This window comes from Homo sapiens, chromosome 8, assembly GCF_000001405.40.
Source record: "Homo sapiens chromosome 8, GRCh38.p14 Primary Assembly".
Classification (NCBI taxonomy): domain Eukaryota; kingdom Metazoa; phylum Chordata; class Mammalia; order Primates; family Hominidae; genus Homo; species Homo sapiens.
The window spans coordinates 127,931,917-127,955,653 of record NC_000008.11 but is presented as its reverse complement, the minus strand read 5'-3'; the positions used below and the strand labels follow the sequence as shown (position 1 = coordinate 127,955,653).

At 48.2% G+C, this 23,737-nt stretch overlaps 2 long non-coding RNA genes across 52 annotated transcripts in view, besides 1 other annotated feature; one reads left to right on the top strand and one right to left on the bottom strand.

Annotated features, from left to right (window-relative positions):
- The window catches only part of PVT1 (Pvt1 oncogene), a 306,733-nt gene that overhangs the window by 145,603 nt on the left and 137,393 nt on the right, over positions 1-23,737 (bottom strand). For 46 of the 51 annotated variants that reach the window (NR_186144.1, NR_186151.1, NR_186146.1 and 43 more), the window contains one exon: positions 15,978-16,146. The exons of 4 other annotated variants lie outside the window; for them this stretch is intronic. This is a non-coding gene — a long non-coding RNA (Pvt1 oncogene). Of the gene's footprint in view, positions 1-13,293; positions 13,500-15,977; positions 16,147-23,737 lie in introns of all 51 variants that reach the window. One more of the 51 variants, NR_186132.1, reaches the window with a different exon arrangement.
- On the top strand, positions 6,931-9,095 carry LINC02912 (long intergenic non-protein coding RNA 2912). Its single transcript, NR_103558.1, has one exon. It is a non-coding gene; the product is annotated as a long intergenic non-protein coding RNA 2912 (long non-coding RNA).
- Positions 15,731-16,253: an enhancer, noted in NCBI's record as "H3K27ac-H3K4me1 hESC enhancer chr8:128951647-128952169 (GRCh37/hg19 assembly coordinates)". NCBI's record gives its function as "activates a minimal SCP1, AML or CMV promoter by ChIP-STARR-seq in naive H9 embryonic stem cells {active_cell/tissue: H9 hESC(naive)}" and the evidence as "EXISTENCE:reporter gene assay evidence [ECO:0000049][PMID:30033119]".

The following is a 23,737-nucleotide window of genomic DNA, read 5'->3' as shown; positions in this document are numbered from 1 at the left end:
CCGAGATTGCACCACTGCACTCCAGCCTGGGCGACAGAGACTGTCTCGGGAAGGGGAGGGGAGGGCAGGGGAGGGGAGGGGATTACAGACTCTTGGGCATAACTCTTATACTGTGTGTTGGAAACTTAGTATCTTGACCTGAACTACCATGAAGCTATTTATGGATTTTATTTATCCCACTTACTATGAAAATTAATATATTTCCCTGTAGAAATTTTGGGCTTGGTTAGAGGCACTGCCCCAGACACACGGTATATTGGTCTGCTAGGGCTGCCATAAAAAAGGAGTATAGACTGGGTGGCTTTAACAACAGAAATTTATTTTCTCATAATTCTGGAGGCCAGAAGATCAAGTTGAAGGTGTTGGCAGTTGGGTGTCTCCTGAGGCCTCTCTTTGGCTTGCAGATGGCTGTCTTTTCACTGTGTCCACACATGGCCTTCCCTCTGTGTGTGCGCATCCTGGTGTCTCTGTCCAAATTTCCTCTTCTTACAGGGACTCTAGCCCAGTTGGCTTAGGGCCCACCCTAATAGCCTAATTCTAACTTAATTACCTCTTTAAAGGCCCTACCTTCAAATCCAGTCATATTCTGAGGTCCTTGGCACTAGGACTTCAACATGTGAATTTGCAGAGACACAATTCAGCCCATAACACATAGTATGATATGCGTACTGTATTGCGTTTCTAAAATCTCAAAACAGGATAAACTCCCAAACATAATTCATCCTAAATGTTTTGAATAAAGGATGGAGGACCTGGAGGACAGGCTTGTAGGGTGGTGCAAAGGATAAATGTGGCAGCACACAGAAAGCGCTGGCCCATGGTACAGAGCTCACAGACCCCCAGGACCAAGCCGAGCACCAGTTGCAGAGCAGCAGCTCAGTCATTGCTTCATGGAGGAATCCACGAACTCAGAGGCCCGAATCCTTCTTCTACACTGTATGACTTTGGGGAAGCCACTCCCTGGGCCTCAGTTTGTTCACCTGCTCAAGGCAGGCAACTCCCACCTGGGAGAGGCACTGGGGGCGCTGAACCACACCCACAGGTAGAAGTGAGTACTTGTTGGCCTGGCGCAGTGGCTCATGCCTGTAATCCCAGCACGTTGGGAGGCCGAGGCGGGTGGATCACAAGGTCAAGAGATCGAGACCATCCTGGCCAACATAGTGAAACCCCATCTCTACTAAAAATACAAAAATTAGCTGGGGGTGGTGGTGCGTGCCTGTAGTCCCAGCTACTGGGGAGGCTGAGGCCGGAAAATCGCTTGAACCTGGGAAGCAGAGGTTGCAGTGAACCGAGATGGCGCCACTGCACTCTAGCCTGGTGACAGAGTGAGACTGTCTCAAAAAAAAAAAAAAAAAAAAGTGGGTACTTGTTGAGTCTCAGTCACAGCAGTCACACAACCACAACAAGACAATTTCATCACAAAGCATCTGTTCTAGTTAAGACATAGGTATTGCAGGCCTCTGTCATCCCTCAGAATGATTCTCAAATAACATTCTGAGGCACATAAGGAAACTTAAGAGTAACGGAGGTCAACTTCACCCTCAAAGGCAAGTTTTTTCTTGGAGCAATGTCAAGCAGTGGCAAAAGTCCATGGTTTTGGTTTCTTTTTGCATATGGTTGTGCCTTACTGCTAGTAATTAAGAGATATTCAAGATGATCAGTATTTCAAGTTTTGTGCACGTTTTCTCCAAAGTCCTGGAGCCAACCTGCCTAGACCATGCTTTGCATTTATGTATGTATCTTCTGTAGTTGGGATTCTACTGGGAAGGAGAAATTATGAACGAGGCACCTACGTGAGCTGTAGCAAAAGAAAAGAAAAGGAAACAAAAGAAAAGAAGAGGAAAGGAAAGAAAAGAAGAAAAAAAATGTTCCAGTCATCTAGGAAGTCCACATAGAAATGAGCTCACAACAGATTTCTTGGAGTAGGGAGAAGGGAATGTCTTCCCTAATCTCAGGAGATCTGGGTTTCAGCCCAATTCTGCAAGTTAGAGTTTCAGTCTCAGCTTTTTTATCTGTAAAATGGAAGCAAATTACCCGTTCAATTTATCTCATGGTTAATTTGGGAGGGGTGTGGATAGTGCTGTTGCTACCAGAGCAAACTTTAGAATGGTTTCTGATACTAAATACTAAATAAACGTTACTATAATACTAAATACTAAATAAATGTTAGCTATTATAATTTATTTTTCTAACAATCTTTATGGCCATCCCCTGATAAAGGTATTCCAAAGAGCCTGATTTTTGCAGATGGAGACAAGAGTGGGGTTTGAGTCAGGTTCTCAGGCAATCTACAGGCTGATATCTCCAACATCAAGATCTATCTGTTCATTCATTTTATGCAGAGTCCAGTAAAAGCATTCCTGCACAGGGAGGTTGCAGTAGGGTGATCTCCCAGCAGATCGGGGCCAAGATACTCCAGGACAATTCAAAAGGACAGAGATTGCCCAGCCTGACCTTCAAAGCAAGAATAAGTAATGTGCCATAACCATCAGTTCAGAGCCAAATTCCAGACAGGTCCTTGTTCTCCCATTGAGGAAGGACAGAGAAGCTTCTGCCTACTGGAGAGAATGACCTGAAAAATGCAGGCACGGGCCGGACGCGGTGGCTCACGCCTGTAATCCCAGCACTTTCGGAGGCCAAGGCGGGCGGATCACGAGGGCAGGAGATCGAGACCATCCTGGCCAACATGGTGAAACCCCGTCTCTACTAAAAACATAAAAAATTAGCCAGGCGTGGTGGCGGGCGCCTGTAGTCCCAGCTACTTGGGAGGCTGAGGCAGGAGAATGGCGTGAACCTGGGAGGTGGAGGTTGCAGTGAGCTGAGATCGCGCCTTTGCACTCCAGCCTGGGCCACAGAGCGAGACTCCGTCTCAAAAAAAAAAAATGCAGGCACAACCTAGGTGCAGACACAGCTTGTGATTCTAAAACATGAGACCTTGCTGAGCTCCCCAGACTGTGCCTCTGTTGCCTCATCGGAAAATGAGGGCACATATTACATTTTGTTTCAAAGTATGACTATAAAGCCAATGGAGAAAAAAGACTTAGCACAAAATAGGTACCCAAAACATGCCAGTTCTTTCTAGAATAGGGTGTTTAAAGAAAAAAATGGCAGATCTTCAAGATGTAAAGGAAGCATCAAATGAAATGAGTGAGGAAACCAGGGGTCTGGAAACAGGGAAGGGGCTTTGCAGCCCTGGGGAAATTTGTGCTGAGTAAGCAATGAGACAGTGAGTGTTAAGACAGCCTCAGAGCTCAGGGAGCTCAAAGGGCTTTAACAGACATGATCTCACTGGGATTTTTTTATTAGCTTCTTAGACAGTTTAACAGGTTCCTCCAGCTCTGCTGAGACAGTGAAACTGTGGGCTCCTCTGGCCTCCCTGGGCACATGGAGGCCAGGGCAGTCTTTCTGAACCTGCTTGGGTGGCAAAGGCCCAAGATCTGTTTCTTGATCTACAATCGGTCGTGAGCCAGGCATTGCAGAAGGAAATTCATTTTTTAAAAATAAATTTCCTAGAGCAACATTGAAAGAATTCTGTTTTTTGGCCAGGCGCGGTGGCTCACGTCTGTAATCTCAGCACTTTGGGAGGCCAAGGCAGGCAGATCACGAGGTCAGGAGTTCGAGAGCAGCCTGGCCAATGTGGTAAAACCTCGTCTCTACTAAAAACACAAACATTAGTCGAGCGTGGTGGCATATACCTGTAATCCCAGCTACTCGGGAGGCTGAGGCAGGAGAATCGCTTGAACCCAGGAGTTGGAGGTTGCAGTAAGCCGAGATCATGCCACTGCACTCCAGCCTGGGCAACAGAGTGAGACTCCATCTTAAAAAAAAAAAAAAAGGAATTCTGTTTTTGTTTTTGTAAGGAGCAGAGCAGCATGGAAAGAAGGGAGGCTTTGGGATCAACCCTGGGCTTAATTCCCAGCTCAGCTGCTTCCTGGATGTGTTTCTTAGTCTGCAAAATAGGGCAAACAGTTCTTCCCTTGAAGGACAGTGCCAAGGACCAGTGCAATGACAAATGTGAGGTTCAGGCACAGTCTAGGCATGTAATGACCGGGGGAGGCTTGCTGTTGATATTGTACTCCTTTGTTACACGCCTTTTAGTTTCTCCTAGGGGTATTCATTCAGCTCTAATCTCAAGACCTTTCTGTGATCTGACGTCCCTCAGATGTCAGATCCATGCTGTGACGCTGTCTTCCTTTTGATCAGCCTGAGGCCTGCATCAACTCTACCCACTGGCCTTGCCCTGGGTTTCCTACCCAGGGCCCTACCCCTGAGCTCTCTGCTAGTGCACGGGTATGACAACAACACGGCTGTGGACACTGCTGTGCAGGGAGCTTTGCCTCAGGAATATTGAGCTCCAGCAGTGCACTGGGGTAGAAGGAGCAGGTGGGATGAAAGTTTCCCAGGAGGGTCCTCTCCCTCTCTAAGGAAGCCTCGGTTCCCTCTTCAGTAAGACAGGGGCACAGGGTATGGTGGCTCACGCCTGTAATCCCAGCACTTTGGGAGGCTGAGGCAGGTGGATCATGAGGTCAAGAGTTCGAGACCAGTCTGGCCAACATGGTGAAACCCCATCTCTACTAAGAATACAAAAATTACCCAGGCATGGTGGCACATGCCTGTAATCTCAGCTACTTGGGAGGCTGAGGCAGGATAATTGCTTGAATCCGGGAGGCGGAGGTTGCAGTGAGCCAAGATCATACCACTGCACTCCAGCCTGGGCCACACAGCAGGACTCCATTTGGAAAAAAGAAAAGAAAAGACAGTGGCTTGCATTCCCATATGATTGCCCAATGGAGTGAGATAATGTCTGTGAAATGGCTTATAAACTGTAAAAGTGCTGAGCAGACTGAGCTGTTAGCCATCCTCCCTCCTACACCTCCTCACTCGAAGGTGCTCCTTGTGAGCACCTGAATCTTGAGTGTGAGGGAAGGAGACATAAAGGAGAATTCCCAGCCCAGGCCCTTTTGGGTGAAAGTCAGTCCTCCCAGGTCAGTCTTTAGTTCTGGTGACACATCTGTCTCCTAAGTGACTGCCAGCTGTCTCTTCCCATCCCCCAATCAGCTTTTCTCCCAAGAGTCCTTTAAGCAAATTCCATCTGAGCCTGGTGACCCCTGGGCCCCGGTGCTTATTTGAGACAGTGGGAAACTCCTCCACCTTCAGGTTCAGGAGTGGAGGCAGCGTGGAGCAGTGGTTGGAGCTCCCACGCTTGAAGCAGGACCAGCCTCACCTGGGAAACTGGCCGCATCTCCCCACATGGCACAACAGCTTTGTGGCTAAGGGCTGGACAGGCAGATGGCATACAGGAGCTGGGACACCCAGAAACACCCAGGTCTCAGCCTCCCACTCCTATGCAGGGAGAGTAATAACAGCATGCCGCCACGGGGCTATTGGGTGCTAACCCCAGGACTTGGCACACAGTAGCACCCAAGTGAGGTGAGCTGCTTTCTGCGGTTAGCATTCCCACTGTCAAGCCTGCATCATCAGTAAAAGGGAGATTAGAAGAGCATGTGCCCCGGAAGTTTATTAAAAGGATTAAATGAGAAGATTCATGTAAAGTGCCTAGCACAGTCTCTGACACTTAGTAAGTGCTCAATAAATGAGCTTTCTAATGGCTTAAGTTGGAGGGAAACTCCCGTCCTCTGGCACACAGCTTTTCCAGGAACCCGGGCCGCCAGGGAAGGCAGGGGACAGCCTCAGCTGGAAGCAGAAGAGTCTCTGGCCTGTGACTAAGGCACAGCGAGTCAGAATCCAGCCGCTGGGCAGGGCCGGCTTGGGCCGATGCCTGGCCTGGCCCCCATTCAGGGTGATGCGTTTTTACCGTAAGGTCTGGGTAACTCCACAGCCGGCACTGGGCCTCCCTGTCCCTGGGTGGGGCCTGACACTCACCCATCAACCATGACAGCCGCTTCGTAAAAGAGGCGGGGACTCTAGAGCAGTGAGGGCCCAGTGAGAAAGGGCAGATTCACGGGTTTCAGCGTCATCTGCTAAATGCCACCCCCATTGGTTTAACCATGTGAGAGGTGTTAGTATAGCACGGCAGGTCTGGGTGCCAGGCTGAGCTCCAGGACAGGAGCCAAAGTCAATTAATACCAGGGATGGGGGGTGGGGGTGGCTGAATAGGGAGAGGATGCTGATGGGCAGTGGCAGTGAAGGGAGGCTGAGCTCCCTCCCAAAAACAGGAGGGAAGAAAAGGAAGGTAGGGGAGAGAGGAGAGAGAGGGAGACAGACAGATACACACACACACACACACACACACACACACACACACACACACACAGCTCCTGGAGTTCAAACATTCCAAACTCAATGCAGCAAATGGGAGGTTCTGGTCACAGGGGGCTGGTCTTCAATGTGTCCCATAGGCCAGGCACTACTGGGTGGGCCCTTCACCTACATAGTCTTATTGTAACAACAGCTGGGACGGCATAGTGATCTGGTGTGTGGGCACCAGAGTACAACTACGAAGTTCCACATATGGACCAGCCCCTTCCTTGCTGACTAACATGGGACAGGTTAATTAACAGCTCTGTGCTCCACTCTCCTCACCTGTAAAATGGGAACAATAGTATCTCCCCTCCCCAGCCAAAGGCTACACATGAAGATGAAGTGTGTTCAGACATGGAAAAGGCTTAAACAGGCCCTGGCTCGCAGTGAGCCTCCGATGAAAGTCGGCTATTTCTGATGCCTCTTACCACAGCCTGTGAGGCAGAAATTCTCAGGCTTCTTTTTAGAGCTGAGACCAAGGGGGTTCAGAGAGGGTGAGTGACTTGCTCATGGTCACTGTATTGATCCGCCAGGGCTGCTACAACAAATTTTCACAGGCTGGGTTGCTCAGACAACAGAGGTTTATTTCCTCACAATTCTGAAAGCCAGAAGTCCAGGATCAAGGTGTGGTCAGAGTTGTTTCTTCTGAGGCCTCTCTCCTGGGCTTGTAGATGGCCACCTCCTCCCTGTGTCTACACGTGGTCTTCACTCCTCCTTTGTCATCTTAATCTCTTCTTCTGATAAGGACACCCACCAGTCTGACCATATTGGAGCCCCGCCACGTGAGCTCAGTTAACTGTACCTCTCTAGAGACCCTATTTCCGAACACAGTCACGTTCTGAGGTATGGGTGAGTAGGACTTCAACCTATGGTTTTAAGGGGGACAGAATTCATCCAGTCATAGTCACCAAGCTTCCCTGAAGCTCTACTAGTCTGGCATAGAGAAATCAGAGTGAACCAAGATCAAAATCTGAGGGCAACCTTGGCTTTCCCCTTCTACACAGAATTGGATGACAGCTAGGAGATGGATCTATGAATTTTCTCCCCTGAGAAACCAGACGGGACCACCTAGAGTCGGTCTCCTTCCCCCAAACGCCCTGGACCTACCATGGGCACAAGCTGGGGCTCAGGGAATACCTCTGTGCTCCACCACTCAGCAGCTGCTTTTCAAGAGAAGGAAAACACTACTACACGCCATCCACAGCCACCGCACAATACTGTATCCCTTTGTCAGGGATAATAAAACAGACGGGAAGTCACTCTGGAACTTACTATGGCCTTGGGTCAAAGGCAGGCTGACCGGGGCTGGCAGAAGAAAGCTAAAACTTACTTCTCTGGGATTCTAGGAATTTCAACAAATGAGACCAACAGCAGATAGTTTCAGATTAAAGAAAGGCAATGTGTTCCCAAACTTTGACCCCTGTGCACAGGCTCTGCAGAAAAGCTGTCACTTTGCACTCAGTTTCCTTATAGGTAAAATGGGGATAATAATATTGTCTGTCTGCCTAATTTGTACAAGGCTCTTACAAGAGGGTATAGCACAAAGTAAGTGCTTAATAAATGTGAGCTTTTCTTTGTATTCCTGTTTCATAGTATTTGTAACTATTTCACAAGATTCAGAAACCTTGTCCCTGGACTGTGATCATCGCCTTTTCTTCAGTCTTCCATTCACAGACCCAGCCTCTGGTGGGCAGTCACAACACAGCTGGCCATGTCCAGAGAGGTCCAAAAACCTGCCCCAGGTGTCAAAGCAGCTAAGAAACAGGGCCGGGTGAGACTCTGCCTGACTCTTTCATTCTGCCAAATCTAAGCTAAGCAGTGATTCCTATGCCCACCTGGGAGGGGAGAAACCTGAGGCCCACCTTGTAAATCCCTACAGGCTCAGTGTGCCTGGCATTGGGATGGGCAGAGGAGACAGAGGGAATGCCAAAAAAAGAGCAGTTACAAAGGACAGACCACAGGTCCAGGATGAGGGGACTTTCAACGGCTTGTTCGTGGTTCCGTTTTTGCCCAAACTCTCTCGATCCACCTTTGAGCAACAGTAATTATCTCTTTGCCTCCATCAACTCCATTTACCATCCCTGTCCAATTCTTTCCCAATAAGCCAGAGAATAAGAGTGCAGACATTAAAGGTCAGATTTTCATGGTGCTGAACCCATTTAACCCAGCTGTGTGGCTTTGAGTAAGCTACCTAAGCTCTCTGAGCCTCCATTTCCTCGTGTGCAAACCAAGGAAAATACTCACCTACTTATTAGAAGGAAAGAAAAGACTGAGTACCTGCCATGTGACAGGCTTTCAACAAGGGACCACCTCTTGTCATAAACAAGAGGCACATGAACAAGTGACCACGGGTTTAACTTGTACACAGGTATTATGAAAACAACAAGTCTGCATTTCAATAAATATTTGTTATATAAATGAACGGGACTGTTCCCAGAGCCTGCTGCTTGGAGGAAGCTAGGGAATAAGGAACTCAAAAACAAGGTAAGAATGTCAGAGCAGGGAAGGGAAGGGAGGAGGGAGGGAGTCGTGACCTTGGGTCAAAGGTAGGCTGACCGATGCTGGCAGAAGAAAACTTAAACTTACTTTTCTGGGATTCTAGGAATTCCAACAAGTGACACCAACAACAGATACTTTCAAATTAAAGAAAGGCATTGTTCCCAAACTTTGGCCCCTGTGCACAAGCTCTGCAGAAAAGCTATCACTTTGTACTCAGTTTCCTTGTAGATCAAATGGGGATAATAATATTGCCTGTCTGCCTAATTTGTATGAAGCTCTTACAAGAGGGTCCAGCACATATAGTAGGTGCTCAATAAATGTGAGCTCTTCTTTGTATTCCTGTTTAATAGTCTTGCTATCATTCATCCGTGGTCTCTTTCCTTTTCTTGGAAATCAGCACTTTCTCAGACACAAACTAGTTACCAGAGCAATGGAGATGACCACCATTTCCTCGCTATCATGAATAACCAGCTACTTGGAAACATTTGAAAGATGGAAGATGCTTTCTTAACATGGGGTTCACCTTCCTACAAATACTTAACCTCTTCCCCCTTCCTCCACTAGACTATACAGCCCACAAGGGCAGAACCATGTCTGTTTTGCTTGCTCTTACATCCCTAGCACCTAAGAGTGTCTGATATATTAGGCACCCAATACAATCGATTGAATGGCTTGTGCATGATAATAACCCAACAAGCTTGGGAGAGTAAGCATGAGCAGAAAGGCCAATCGCCCTAAGTTCCCTGCCTTGGATGTGTGGCTGGTACCCTGACAGACCAGAAGCAATTTGGCCTGCAGTGTTTTTCCTGGGTCTGCACTCCAGCGAGCCCTGCCTTGGTGCAATGTTTTGTCTGTCTCTAAACCCCTTCGTACACATTCACATGTGTTACACTAACTCTTTCTTTTTTCCAACCCGCAGCGAGGCTGGTAGCTTTAGTCCTTTATTACAGAGAAACAAAAGGAGGCCCAGAGAGCTCATGGGTCTCTCCCTAGGACACAGAGCTGACTGGGGACGGTGAGTGTCCCAAAAGCCAGGCCTTCGGTTCCACATCCTGTGCTGAGTAAAGTGCTGAATAATGTTGGTTAGTTGAAGGAAAAAATGAACGAATGGGAACAACAGTGGGATGTGATTATTTTCCAAAGAACTCAGTCCTGTCTATGGCTACGTGACAGAAAAAACTGCTCAGTGGGAGGTCCAAAACTGACACTCAAGGCAACAAAAGGAACAGGGAAAGGGAATCGTTTCAGATAAGCAATGGACCAGACCAGCGTGTCCTCCTAGGTTGTCAGGGCACAGGCTGGGAACTGTGAGGATTCATGCTGCCTTTGGAGGGCCTTCAGCATGGGGCAGTTGAGGGCAGGCTGCTCATCCCCCTGGCAATCAGGGGAACTACCAGAAATGGCATCACCCCCATGAGACTGGCAAAAAGCAAAATTCTGACCTATCAAATGTGGGTGACCAGATGGGGGAAAACAGGGCTCTTGTGTACAGTCAGTGGGAGTGTAAACTGGCATGATTGTTCTGGAGGGCAATGTGATCGCGTCTTATGAAACAGAAAATGTTCCTTAGCCTCCACGGCAGTGAAGTCGCCTCAGGGTATAAATCCTGGATGAGCTCTCACATAAGTGACCAAGAAAGCATGTGCGGATGTTCCTCCCAGCAGTGTTTGTAATATGGGAGAATAAAAAAGAAAGAAAGAAAAGAAAAAAAATGCATCAAGCACAGTGTCTCAACAGGGGAATGGTTAACTGGCCCTTGAAAAACACTCGGCCACTGTTCATTGTTCATTCTCCTCTGATCCAACTTCCCACACACACACTCACCCCACCCACTTCAGGTTCATTTTTATGTTTTATCAGCCTATTGCCTTGACCCCCAGGGGAAAGTAGAATTCACATATGAAAAAAGAGGGTCAGACTCCCCGGAAAGCTTTTCTATGTCCTTTGCCCAGGAGAGGTTCCCATTACAATCGGGCCTGGACCTCAGCCATGAGCACGGGGAGGGAAGGAACCAATTTCATTCCACTTAAACCAATTTGCCGGGCCCAGACAGCAGCTAATGAGCAGCCTGCGCCCTCGGAGTCATCGATACCACTTTCCAAATCAAGTTACCAAATTGGTCTTAAAACCACTTCAAAGGGGCCGGGCTGACTGTTACCAGTGAGGCATCCTGCCAGCCATATGGCCACGCTTCTTCCCACTGGCATCCTCCTCCTCGGTATCAGCTGCAGAGGGGATGAGCTGGCTGGCTGCTTTTGTCTCTGCTTTGGATCCCTCCTTCCCCTGAATGCCTGATCGTCCATAATGGAACTTGGGTCACCATTTAAAAAAAAAAAAAATGGGACAACTGTGGCAGAGGGATTCAAATAAAGGAGGGCCCATTCAGGCAGCACAGCCAGTAGCACAACAGCCCGGTGAGGTCAGTACTCTTATTGTTCCCATTTTACAGACAAAGAACCTGAAAGTATGAAAGCTGGGCAAGGTCTCACCATGGCTAGCAAGTGGCAGAACCAGAAATTGAACCTGGGGCTTCCTTAAATCACAATCCATGCTCAGCCTCTAAGCCACGCAGGTTTTATAGTTTAGATCTTCATGACTTACATTCCCTTCTCTACAATCAAGCAGAAAAAATAGTCAAATGGGCCAGGTGTAATGGCTCATGCCTATAATACTAGCACTTTGGGATGTTGAAGCAGGAGGATCGATTGAGCCCAGGAGTTTGAGGATGCAGTGAACTAGGATGGCACCACTCTACTCCAGCCTGGGCCACCCCCATCTCTTTAAAAATAAATGGTCAACTGAACCTTGAACAAGGGCCCAAAATAATTTTCCTTAAGAGGCTTTTTGTTACTATTCATAAATATAACCCCTATTTTTTATTGAGTGCGCATGGAATGAAAAGCACTAGACTATCTTGCCTCTTTAATCACACAAAAGTCCTGAAGTAGATGGGATGATTTTTTTCTCCCACATGTGGAGTAACATGCTCCACATCCTACAGCCAGGAACGGAACGCTCATCTTCCACATTGGGGATGAAATTCACTTTAAACCCTCAACTCAGTTTTCTTTTCCCTAAATCCAACTGTCCATCAACCTATCTGTCTTTAAGGAGAAGGCTCTGTGGAAGAGCCCACGTCAGCCCTAATTAGGTGGTCTCTAGATTAGTGGTTCTCAACAAAGGGAGATTTTTACACACACATATGTACGCACCACCACCAACACCACCACAAAAGAACATGTGGCAATGTCTGGAAACACTTTAGGTTGTCCCAACTGGAAGCTGGGGTTGCGACTGACAGAGCTACTGGCATCCAGTGGGTAGAGGCCAGAGATGCCGAGCAACATCCTACAATACATAGGACAGCCCCCACAACAAATCATCTGACCCAAAATATGAACAGCGCCAAGGCTGAGAAACTCTGCTGTAGACCCTACCTATGTCTTTGCAATTTCTTCATGGTCTTGATATCATACAAAGAGAGCTTCTTTATTAATCAATTCAATAAAGTAATACTTAGTCATTTGCATTAAAACTGAGCACGACTAATTTTTGCAGCTAATGGACCCACCAGGGCTGGCCAGAATAAAGGGCTGGGCTGGAATTGATTGCATGAAATGGTGCTAAGATCACTTGAGAAATGTGTCCTTTTGCTTATTAAGATTACCGGGAGGCTACTATGTGTCAGACTTCGCGTTAGGATCTGGGGAGGGCATCAACGGGCAGGAACACTCTGTGCAGGACCTCCTTCTGTCCCCAGAGGACACACATCATCTTACTGAGTCACGAGATGGTCCATGGGACATTTCCAGGCCCCCTACAACAGCACATTCTCTTCTTTCAGGACCTCAGGAGAGAGGCTCAAGACAGAACAAAAGGAGACCTGGGAAGATGGGTCACTCAACTTGGAGAGGAGGCCCTGAGGCAGGTCCTGCTCCCTCCTCAGATTTTATTTCTCAAATCCTAAGGAATAATAATCACAGTTAAAATGACAGTTTATACAAATCTCAGCATTGGACATGACAGTTTCATTCCAGGGTTTCCAAAGCCACTTCAGAACAGCCACTACCTAAAGAGTACCCAGGACAGGAGAGTCGATGCGCAGCTTCAAGGAGGGACTGAATCTCACAGTCTTTCCCACTGAAAGAAAATAAAGCTGGAGGCTCCAATACTTAGAGCAAAATGAGGCACCAGCTGGTCAGGCAAGTCAGAATTGAACCCAGCTCTACTGAATGAGAACCTTCAACATTGTCACCAGGTGGCTATCACTCATCCTGGTCAACAGTACATGGTGGACCTCAGAAAGCTCTGGACACTCCCTGGGCCTCAGTTTCAGCAGCTGTAGAATGGGTTATCATTTCCCCTATGGCAGCCTTCAGGGGCTCTTCCAGGTCAAGGGGGAGAGGTGAGTGACATCAGTTTCAATGCATGAAGATGTAAATTAGGTGCTTTCCCACCACTGGCTGTGTAGTTGCCTGCAGGAGAAGCCTTAATGAGAGAGGTGGCTATGGGTCAACAAGAACAGAATCACACCTGATTTCTTTCCTGTCATCACAGGCAGATGAACCTGGGTTGAGATGCCAGCTTGATGACCTTAGGCAAGCCATGGAAATTCTCCATGATCCCTTCCACATTGCTCAACGACCCTAGGCAAGCCGTGGAAATTCTTCATTATCCCTTCCACATTCACACAGTGGGGATGACACTTCCCAACTGGCAGAACTGACAGGCGAAAGTGTCTGGCCAAGGCAAACATGGGCTTGTGAGTCTTAAGAGCCACATGCAGGGAGTTACAGAGCTGGGGACATGGGATCACACTCTGAGGGCCCAACATCTGTGGGCCTGGGGACCTGGGACTCAGGGTGCCCTTGGGAAGGGAGTCGTTTCCTGACAAAAATGGGCCCACAGGTGTGGTGCCCTGCAGGCTGGTTCAAAGAGCCAAGGGCCCCGAGGAAGCCAAAGGGGATGGTCTCAGGAAGGAGAGGCATGGCCCACTTCCCAAAAGAGAAAAGTCCCACCCCACACACATGGCCCAGAGCTGAGCTGGTGCTGGATGAGGGGCTCTGCAAGAAAGAGGGGCCCCTCAGGCCACAGAGACACTGGCACCAGAGCAGGAGACTGAGTGTGGCCTGGAAAGACATGCATTGCCCTAAATCAGAATAAAATTTGCAAAGGCATGATGATCACGGTGTTCACATATATACTATAATAACAAAATAATAACTCTTTAAAAAGTAATGCCCAACAATAGCAAACTGGCTAAATAAAGCATGACATTTCTACCACTAGAGTAATGACAGCAAACATTTACTGAAGATTTACTATAGACCAGATACTATTAAGTTGACCTTTTATAGGTCAACAATTCAATGCTGCCAAATTCACATGGCTCTACATAATATTTTAAGCGCTTTACGTGTCTCCATTCACTTCATCATCACAGCAACCCTTCTGAGGTACTGTGTCAGAATACCTGCCACCCCTCATTCCAATCAAAGAGATGCCCATGTCGGAATTTCCTGGAACCTGTGAATATGTTGCCTCCCATGGCAATAGAACTTCCTAGATGTGATTAAACCTAAGGACCTTGAAGTAGGGATTATTCTGGATTATCAGGGTGGCCCCAGTCCAATCACATGAATCCTTAAAATTAGATAATCTTTTCTAGCTGAGATCACAGAGGTGAAAAGAAAGAGGGAGAAAAGATTTAAATCCTAAAAGGAACTGGACCCACCATTGCTGGACTTGAAAATGGAGAGAGGAGGCCACAAGCCTAGCGAGGAGGCTTCCAGAAGCTCAATGCATCTGGACAGCCAGCAAGAAAACGGGATCTCAGCCCTACAACCTCAAGGAAACAAATTCTGCCAACATCCAGAATGAGCAAGGAACAGACTCTCCCCTGCAGTCTCCAGAATGGAAGGCAGCCTACAGGTTCCTTGATGTTAGCCTGGAGAGATCCATGTCTGACCTCTGCCCTAGATAACTGGACGTGAGCCGGACATAGTGGCTCACACCTGTAATCACAGCACTTTAGAAGGCCGAGGTGGGAGGATCGCTTGAGTCCAGGAGTTCCAGGCCTGCCTGGGCAAGATAGTGAGACCTCGTCTCTACAAAAAATACAAAAAATTAGCCAGGTGTGGTAGCTCATGCCTGAAGTCCCAGCTACTCTGGAGGCTGAGGTGGGAGGACCCCTTGAGCCCTGGAGGTCAAGGTTCAGTGGGCCAGGATCACACCATGCACTCCAGCCTGGGTGACAGAGCAAGACTCTGTCTCAACACTGCCCCTCCACCGCCCCCCCCCACAAAAAAACTATGCATTAATATATTATGTTATATAAATGCTAAATTTGTGTTAATATTTTATGGCAATCATAGAAATTGATAAGCAGGATAAAAAGCATTCGTAACCACACTTGAAGGCAGATGAGAATATGAATCACAATGCCCAAGGTCACTCAGCCAGCAAGGAGCAGAACCGGGTCTGACCAGCTCGTGGGACCTCTGGCCCTGCCGTTCTGCTCTGCAGTCTCATGGAAGAACAATTCCAAATCCAGTTCCCAGATGGCAACACAAAGACTGTATTTTGGGCTGACTCTACCAAAAGTTGGGCTTTAAAAAAAATGCAGTTATTATTTTCAGTAATTAAAATTGTTAAAAGATCTTGGCCTGTCCAGGCCTGGATTATGGCAATAAAAATGTGGCTCGAGATGAACTAACATAGGGGTTGGGTGGGGGAAATAATGAGTCTAGAGACACCAGGCCTGATATTCAGCAGGAACTCACTCACCTGCAGTGGTTTTGTGAAAGCGGTCCCATAACAGCGAGTAAACAGGTACCTCCCCATGAGGGCAACTGTTGTCCCCCGTGTCTAGGCATGTTCCCCAGGGGAACATTCTCCCACCCACCTCCACAAAATGCAGGGTTCAGGCCTGACGCAGAGTCTCAGAACCTAGCACCATGTATCCCAATGCCTCAGACTAGAATATTTGATTATCACCTCCAAGGGATCAGAAAGTTAGGAAAGTTAGAAAACAGTGGGCCCAGCAGGCAGGTGCCTTTGGACTTACCTAGAAGAAAGGAAAAGATCTGCTTTGGTCAGGCCTCTAAAGATATGGAAAGTATGTGGAAAATGTACAGACCCTTAGGTCTGGTCTTAGGCCTGTTTCAATCATCTCTTCATCTTCTCTGTTAGCACATGGCCTCAGGTAAGCCACTTACCTCTCCAAATCTCAGTGTCCTGGCAGTAAAAGGGGAACACCAAGGGAGCCACGTGCCAAGCAGCTCAAAGGGGAGATGATTCAGCCTCCACTTAAAGTACCATCATGATGGCTGTATGTGCCAAGGTCACCCGCGCACCTCGGGAGAAGGCTCCAGGGAGTATGGTCAGCTGCAGAAGCAAAAGGTATGAGTGTCAGTGCCCTGCAGTCAAAAGCAGTCCTCACAGAGCACAGCACTGCCAGGGACTCGAGGCTTTGAGAGACCCCGCACCTGGCTCCCGTGCTGCCTAACGCGGCTTTTCTCCAGCACCTCCACCTGCCGGACCATACCCTGTCCACCTCTGCTCCATCTGCGGTCGTAGGCCCCCATCCATGAAGCCTGTGTGCCTTAACCATCCCATATCAGGGTACAGGGCCAAGGTGCTGGTTGGGAAAGGGCCACAGCCCCACCTTTGTACATGGAGCCCTTAAAATATGTTGGTCAAGTGAGAAGGCAGGTGAGGATAGGGGAGAAGAGTCACAGGGTTGCCAAGACAGACCCCAGCTCTTTCTTCCTCCATAACTGCAAAGCCTTGGCCTAGAGAAAGCGGAAGCAAGAAGACCCCTTGGTCCAATCCCCATAGTCCAATTTAACTTCCCAAATAGAGAAGGTACATGCCACAAAAGAGAATGAGGCTTCTGTGATATCACCCAGAAGTCCTAAATTGCAGCATCCCTCTCAGCCTCAGTTTCCTCATCTATGAAATGGGCATGATGCCCGCCTGTGCACCTCACCAGAGGAAGGACTGCTCAAAGGAGACGCTCAACCAACTTCCCTGTGTGAGCATGCATTCCGCCACACGATGACTGCACCATCGAACGAGACCCACTCGCCTGCCACACAGAGACCCTGGGGCAGAGGAACGCAAAGGCAATAAACCTAAGATTTTGGACATTAGTAAAAACAGACTGGAATCTTCACTCATTTTCAGGGACACTTCAGCCTTTCTCTTCCATGTCCTCTGGTGCTGCAGCTTTGAAAACAAATGGCATTTCTTTTTAAGGGTGTCATTTTTCTTTAAACACCTTAAGAAAAAAAGTTAGAATCCCAAAGGGATCTTACATTTGCGTTCTTGTGTAATCTGTTTTGCTAGAAGCTTTCAAATACATATATTTTTGAAGCCACAGGATACAGCCCCAGGGTGAGGCCTTGGGTTCCTATCAGCAGCCCCTCAAGGCTCTGGGAGCATCTCTTCTTTTCATCTGGAGCAGCTGTCCTTGAGGAACATGCCGTGGACACAGCTGTCTGAGATGAGTAAGCCTCATCTCTGGCCAAAAGGAAACACACTGTGATTTGGGGTCTCTCTGTCTCAGGATGGGGCTTCCTCGGAGGCCTGAAGCCATGTGGGACGGCATCCTTTCCCTGGAAAGTGCTGAGATTGTCAATCTCGCTCACATTTGATCAGGGCTTGTCGCCTCTTTGTGGCCCCCGCTGATAAAAGCAGGGCTGGCGCTGTTTCTGGAATGATGTGAGGGATACCACCCCCATCCCAGCCCTAGGAAAAAACAGTATCATTCTCCAGATGGCTATGCTCCTTGTGAACATCCCAAGGAGGTCGCCTGAAGAGGTTACAAGGCCAGTGATTCCCAGCTGGCTTCCGCTGAGGGAAAGAGACTGATCTTGGAAGAATCAGACCAGGAGCCTGATGAGGAAAACTGAGGGACTCCAGTGTCGACCTCCACACAGGCTCTGAACTAGACGGAGCATGTAGCACGATTTAGCGTGACAGAGACTAAATTCTAGCTCTGTTACTTTCGCAGTGAGACTAAAAAATGTCTTCCCTCTCTGAGACTTGGGTTTGACTTCTGTAAACCATGGGTAATAAATAATGCCCTTGTTCGATGCCCATAAAGATTGAATTGAATTGGGGCCAGGCTCACTCCTGTAATCCTAGAGTCTTCCTTCAGAAGGAAGAAAGCATAATCTATATGCTGGCTGGCTCTACGCAGCAGCAGGTATCACAAGTGGTTTTTGTCTGCCTTTGCTTCTGAAGGTTAACCCACTACCTATTTAGAGAGGCCACGTTGGTCTCTCTCTCTCTCTCTCTCTCTCTCTCTGTGTGTGTGTGTGTGTGTGTGTGTGTGTGTGTCTTTTTCCCTAGGGTGGGCATTTTCTTTCAGGCAGGTGGCACCCTGCCCAAGGAGGGTGGATCACTTAAGGCCAGACTTCTAGACTAGCCTGACCTACATGGCAAAACCCTGTCTCTACTAAAAATACAAAAATTAGCTGGGCGTGATGGCACACACCTGGAATCCCAGCTACTCAGGAGGCTAGAGGCACAAAAATCACTTGAACCCAGGAGGCAGAGGTTGCAGTGAGCCAAGATCGTGCCACTGCACTCCAGCCTGTCTAAAAAAAAAAGAAAAGAAAAGAAAAAAGAAAAGAAAAACAATGAATTAGATAATGTGCCAAAGCATCTCAAGATTTGCACCCAAGACTCGTCAGTTCCCTTGCCCCTGCTGTCAGATTAATTGCAGTTTACTTGTAGAGGTAAAGAGGGTGCCCACAGCAAAGGGACTGAACCAGATAACTCAAGGTAATCACCCAGTGGATGATGCGGGCTGCAAGCCCGAGGGGTTAGGTGACTTGGTCTGGACTTAAAACGGGGACAGGAAATTAGATACCAGCATTCATTTTTCTGATTTACAAATCCTTTCCTGTATAAAACTCTTCCAAGGCACATATGTGAACATACACAGTTATGCTTCAGCCGGTCCCTCCCATCTAGAGAATCCAACCAAGGACACACAGTGTGTCTAGGGAGAAGAGGTTATTCTGTGGCACAGGTGGCTCTGCAGAGGTGGGTGCCATGCCAAGTCCCACGGGAGGGTATGTTCCCAGCGAAGAGTTTAGAGCAAAGACCTGCTCAAGTTACATTAGGGGTGAGGTTCCTTCCTAAAGGCACCCTCAAGCAACCCCTCACTGGAAGCAGGAGAGGAAGCAGCTCAGCCCTGAAGGCTGCAAGAGCTCAGCAGTGCCTACTGCCTTTGTTGACCTTTGAAGGTGAACAATCACGGCGGGAGGGAAATGATTTCTCCAAGGCCAGGACATGGAGTGGAGCGGTAGGATGCACAGATCCAACCACAAACCAGATTCAGAAAGTGTCAGACCAGCATTGGGGCGGCCATAGGAAGCCAAAGCCACACCCAGCACCACCTTTCTCCTTTCTGAGAAAGGCCATCAAAGCAATATGAGAGCAGCTGGCACAATGGAGTGATCCTCATTCAATAGAGAGTTCTAGCCTGGGCGCTTCAGGGCTACAGTTCTGCTTAGAGAAGACACTGTCGACCAGGTGGGGTGGCTCACGCCTATAATCCCAGCACTTTGGGAGGCCAAGGCAGGCAGAACACCTGAGGTCGGGAGTTGGAGACCAGCCCGACCAACATGGAGAAACCCCATCTCTCCTAAAAATACAAAATTAGCCGGGCGTGGGTGGTGCATGTCTGTAATCCCAGCTACTCGGGAGGCTGAGGCAAGAGAATCACTTGAACCTGGGACGCGGAGGTTGTGGTGAGCCAAGATCGCGCCATTGCACTCTGGCCTGGGCAAAAAGAGCAAAACTCCATCTCAAAAAAAAGTAAAAAAAAAAAAAAAAAAAAAAAAGAGAGAGAGAGAGAAGACACTGTTTGTCCAACTCTTACCTCAAGACCATTCCTCATTCAAACCACTTCCACCCTCACGTGGCCACCCCTGACAAGATTCTCAATCTTTGGGCCACACCACCCACTGACACCTCTCAGATCAGGAAGCTACCAGTTACTCCAGCTTTTGGCCAAATCCACCCTAACCAGGATGGTCATTACAGCCAAGATCATCAGAGCACGTACTGCATGCTGGACACTGTTCTCCGCTCCATACGGAGGAGAAACTGACTTTGATAAATGGTCAAAATGGCCCTTTGGGATACATACTGTCCCATTTTACAGATAAGAAAACTGAGGTTTCTCAAGATTAAGTAACCTCCCACGATTGTGCAACCAGAGCTCATGCTCTGTGCCATCGGGCCACGCATGGCTCACCTTCTTCTAGGCTTTGGACCAGACCCCTGAATACATATGTGATTCTGTCATCTATCAGTTGTGTGACATCAGACAAAGCACTTCATCTCCCTAAAACTTCACTGCTTCTTCTACAACAGGGGATCATAACAACACCTTCCTGAATGAAAATACCCACCCTAGGGAAAAAGACACACACACACACACACACCCTGACCTGGCCTCTCTAAATAGATAGTGGGTTCACCTTCAGAAGCAAAAGCAGACAAAAACCCCTTGTGATGCCTGCTGCTGTGTAGAGCCAGCCAGCATATAGATTATGTTTTCTTCCTTCTAAAGGAAGAGGCTTAAAAAAAGAAGAGAACTGGCTGGGCACCGGGATTACAGGGCTCACGCCTGTAATCCCAGCACTTTGGGAGGCCGAGGCGGGCAGATCACCTGAGGTCCGGAGCTCGAGACCAGCCTGACCAACATGGAGAAACCCCGTCTCTACTAAAAATACAAAATTAGCTGGGTGTGGTGGTGCATGCCTGTAATCCCAGCTACTACGGCGGCTGAGGCAGGAGAATGGCTTGAACCTGGGAGGCAGAGGTTGCTGTGAGATAGCGCCATTACACTCCAGCCTGGGCAACAAGAGTGAAACTCTGTCTCAAAAAAAAAGAAGAGAACTTAGGAGAGGGCCTGGTTGGATAACAGAGCACCCAGGTACAGCAGTTAAAACCAAACAGAACTCCCCGATATTGTTTCTAGCCCAACGCCATCTGGCCCCAGGAGCAACAAAAGTGGAGGCTGCCTAAGCAATTACCAAATTTGATCAGTCCCAGCCCAGCTCCAGGCCCTCCGAAAAACCATTGATAAGTCAAAGCCAAGAATTTAGCAGCTTCTCAACTTTTCCCCACACACCTGGAGGTAGACCCTTACCCCAAGGAACAAAGTCTTCATCCTGTTAGAAATCTATGAAGGGAACATGTAAACAAATGTTGCAGAGATAAGGAAGCCTGCCATGAAGGAGTCAGTTTGGAATCTCCAGCCCAGAAATTGGGAGAAATGTACCCATTCACTCTTTCCTGACCTAAGACCATTCTGGGAGTCCCTAAACAAAGGCTGGCCAACTCTTTCCCCTCTATCTTTGGCAAACCTATTTCAGCGATCACTGAGGCACTTTCAGACCAACTTCCTCCCATCCCGAGAGAGCCCAGACCATCCTGGGGAGGAAGACACCCAGAGGGAAGGCTTCAAGGGGCCCAATGCCTCAGCAGTCCCCACCCCAGTCACCACCACCAGACTGGTGGCTTGATGAAGATGAGGATGAGGCTGTCTTATTTATCACCTTTACCAAGACAGGTACCTGGGGCAAAGTAAGCATTCAATAAATTTTTGTTAAACCCTGGAATGTGCAGCATCCTTCCCCCAAAAAGAACTGCATGGAGTCACCTCTACTCAATAAAATGCCCAACCAACTACTGAAGTTTCTTTGCCCCTTTGAAAACATGAAAGGCCCTTTTTCAATCACCTTAGCCGATGGCCCATACTAGGGAAAAGGAGACCCATCAAAGGATAGTGAAAAGGGCTCAGTGTTGTATCCTATAGCTGAGTTGATGGCTCCAGCAACTACAATGTTGACTTATGAGCAACCTACAGCTCTGTAACCATCACAGCTAGTTGAGAGTTAGCTGTGAGGCTGGAACCCTGCTGAAGGCTTCAAATGCCCATCTCATTTGACTGTCTCACTTTAGAGGCTCAAACAATAATTCCCATTTCATGGATGAAGAACCCAGGATGTAGAGAAACTGTTCAAACTTTCCTAAGGTTGCTCATCTAGAAAGCTATGGAGGCAACATCCCCACACAGTTCTGCCTGGCTCCTATGCCCAGGCTCTTACACTGCCTTGGAAGAAATGGCCACTCCCAGAGAAAGCAGCAAGCAAGTAGAAACAGCACATCCTTGGCCTCTGGGTGACCACACACTAGGCAGATGTCTCCAAGGTCCCACCAAACCCAGAGAGGCTTCATCTTGCCCCTTCCAGCATAAGGGCATCATCCCCTCACCAGTCTCTCTCCTGCCCACCCTGTACACAGCACACATCTCACGCACAGGGTCTCCACTTTACGATGGTGTGCACATTAAGAAACTATACCCACCTATACCCGCAGGTTTGTGCCTCTCTCCATGGGAAAGCAGAGAATAGGAATGAGTTCTATTTCTAAATGCAGGACATAGTAGTGCCCAACACACAACAAGCACTTTAAAAATATCCATGATACTGGCCAGGCACAATGGCTCGCGCCTGTAACCCCAGCACTTTGGGAGGCCAAGGCAGGTGGATCACCTGAGGTTGGGAGTTCGAGACCAGCCTGACCAACATGGAGAAACCCCATCTCTACTAAACATATAAAATTAGCCAGATATGGTGGCGCATGCCTGTAATCCCAGCTACTCCAGTGGCTGAGGCAGGAGAATCGCTTGAACCCGGGAGGCAGAGGTTGCAGTGAGCCGAGATCGTGCCATTGCACTCCAGCTTGGGCAACAAGAGCGAAACTCCATCTCAAAAGAAAAAAAAAATCATGAAACTGAGTTTGCTAATAAATTAATTCCCATCTATAAAAGGGCAATAATATGCCCTTTTATAGCCTCCAAGGTTGTTGGAAGGAAAAAATAAGATAACCCATGAAAAGAACTGCTAAGATCCAAATTGCTATAGATAAATCCCTAATGCCTGACAATCCTTAAGAATGATAAATAGAACAGAAAAATTAAATGTGAGGATGACCTGGCACAACACTCCACATGCATTGGAGATAGATACGCATATACATGCATGTACGTGTGTGTGTGTTTGTGTATGTATGTACAGTCAGAGATGTGTATATCTACTATATATCAGCTTATTGAGATAAAAATAAGAAATGTGTATTATAAGATAGAAATATAACGTGTATTATGTTTTTATTTTTTATTTTTTATTAGCAAAGAAAGAAGGGGCCTTGAAGCTGTACGTAGCTTGGTGTCCATCAGGTACCATGTCTACGAACAGCGAATCTGCACAGAGTTCAATGGGAGTCCAGTGATGCTTCCATAGCAGGCTGGGACTCAGCCACAGCGTGGGGAGTTGGATAAGGCAGGTGCTGGGAGGAATAAACGGGGCTGATTTCCGTTACTGCTCACCTGCGAAGTCCTGCAGACAGGATAGAAAGAAAACTCATGTGACAATAGTTCTCGCATGTCCTCCCATGTTCGAGCCTCCTTGGGGTAATCCATCTCAGACTTCCCAAGGAAGGCCTTCATTATTCATCCCTTTACCAGGAGAGGGGCAGAAGGGAGGGAGATCAAACCTAAAGCAGACACCCGTTAGTAATGGGAGAGGAGCAGAAACATGGACCCCCTGCCTCCTTGAGGCTAATCCCGCCCTGGGAGCACCTTATACCCATGGCTGGGCCTCACCTGCCTCGAGTGCTGGCATGGGGCAAGTGGGCTGGGAGTGCACGGCATTCCCAGCAAAGAGGCAGGCCCCACTCCTGACGTTCCCACCCAGCCACAGACTGTCCACCGCCAAAGGCCAGGCCCTCCATGGTGGTGTTCCCAGGAATCTGGAGAAAATTCAACAGAGGAAGCCTGAGGATGGGGTGGGAGGAGGAAATGGGGCAAAGAGGCCCTGTGAAGTTTTCCAGAGGAAATGAGTAACCCGTTGTTATGCAGTCACACAGCGCCAAGCGAGGAAGTGGC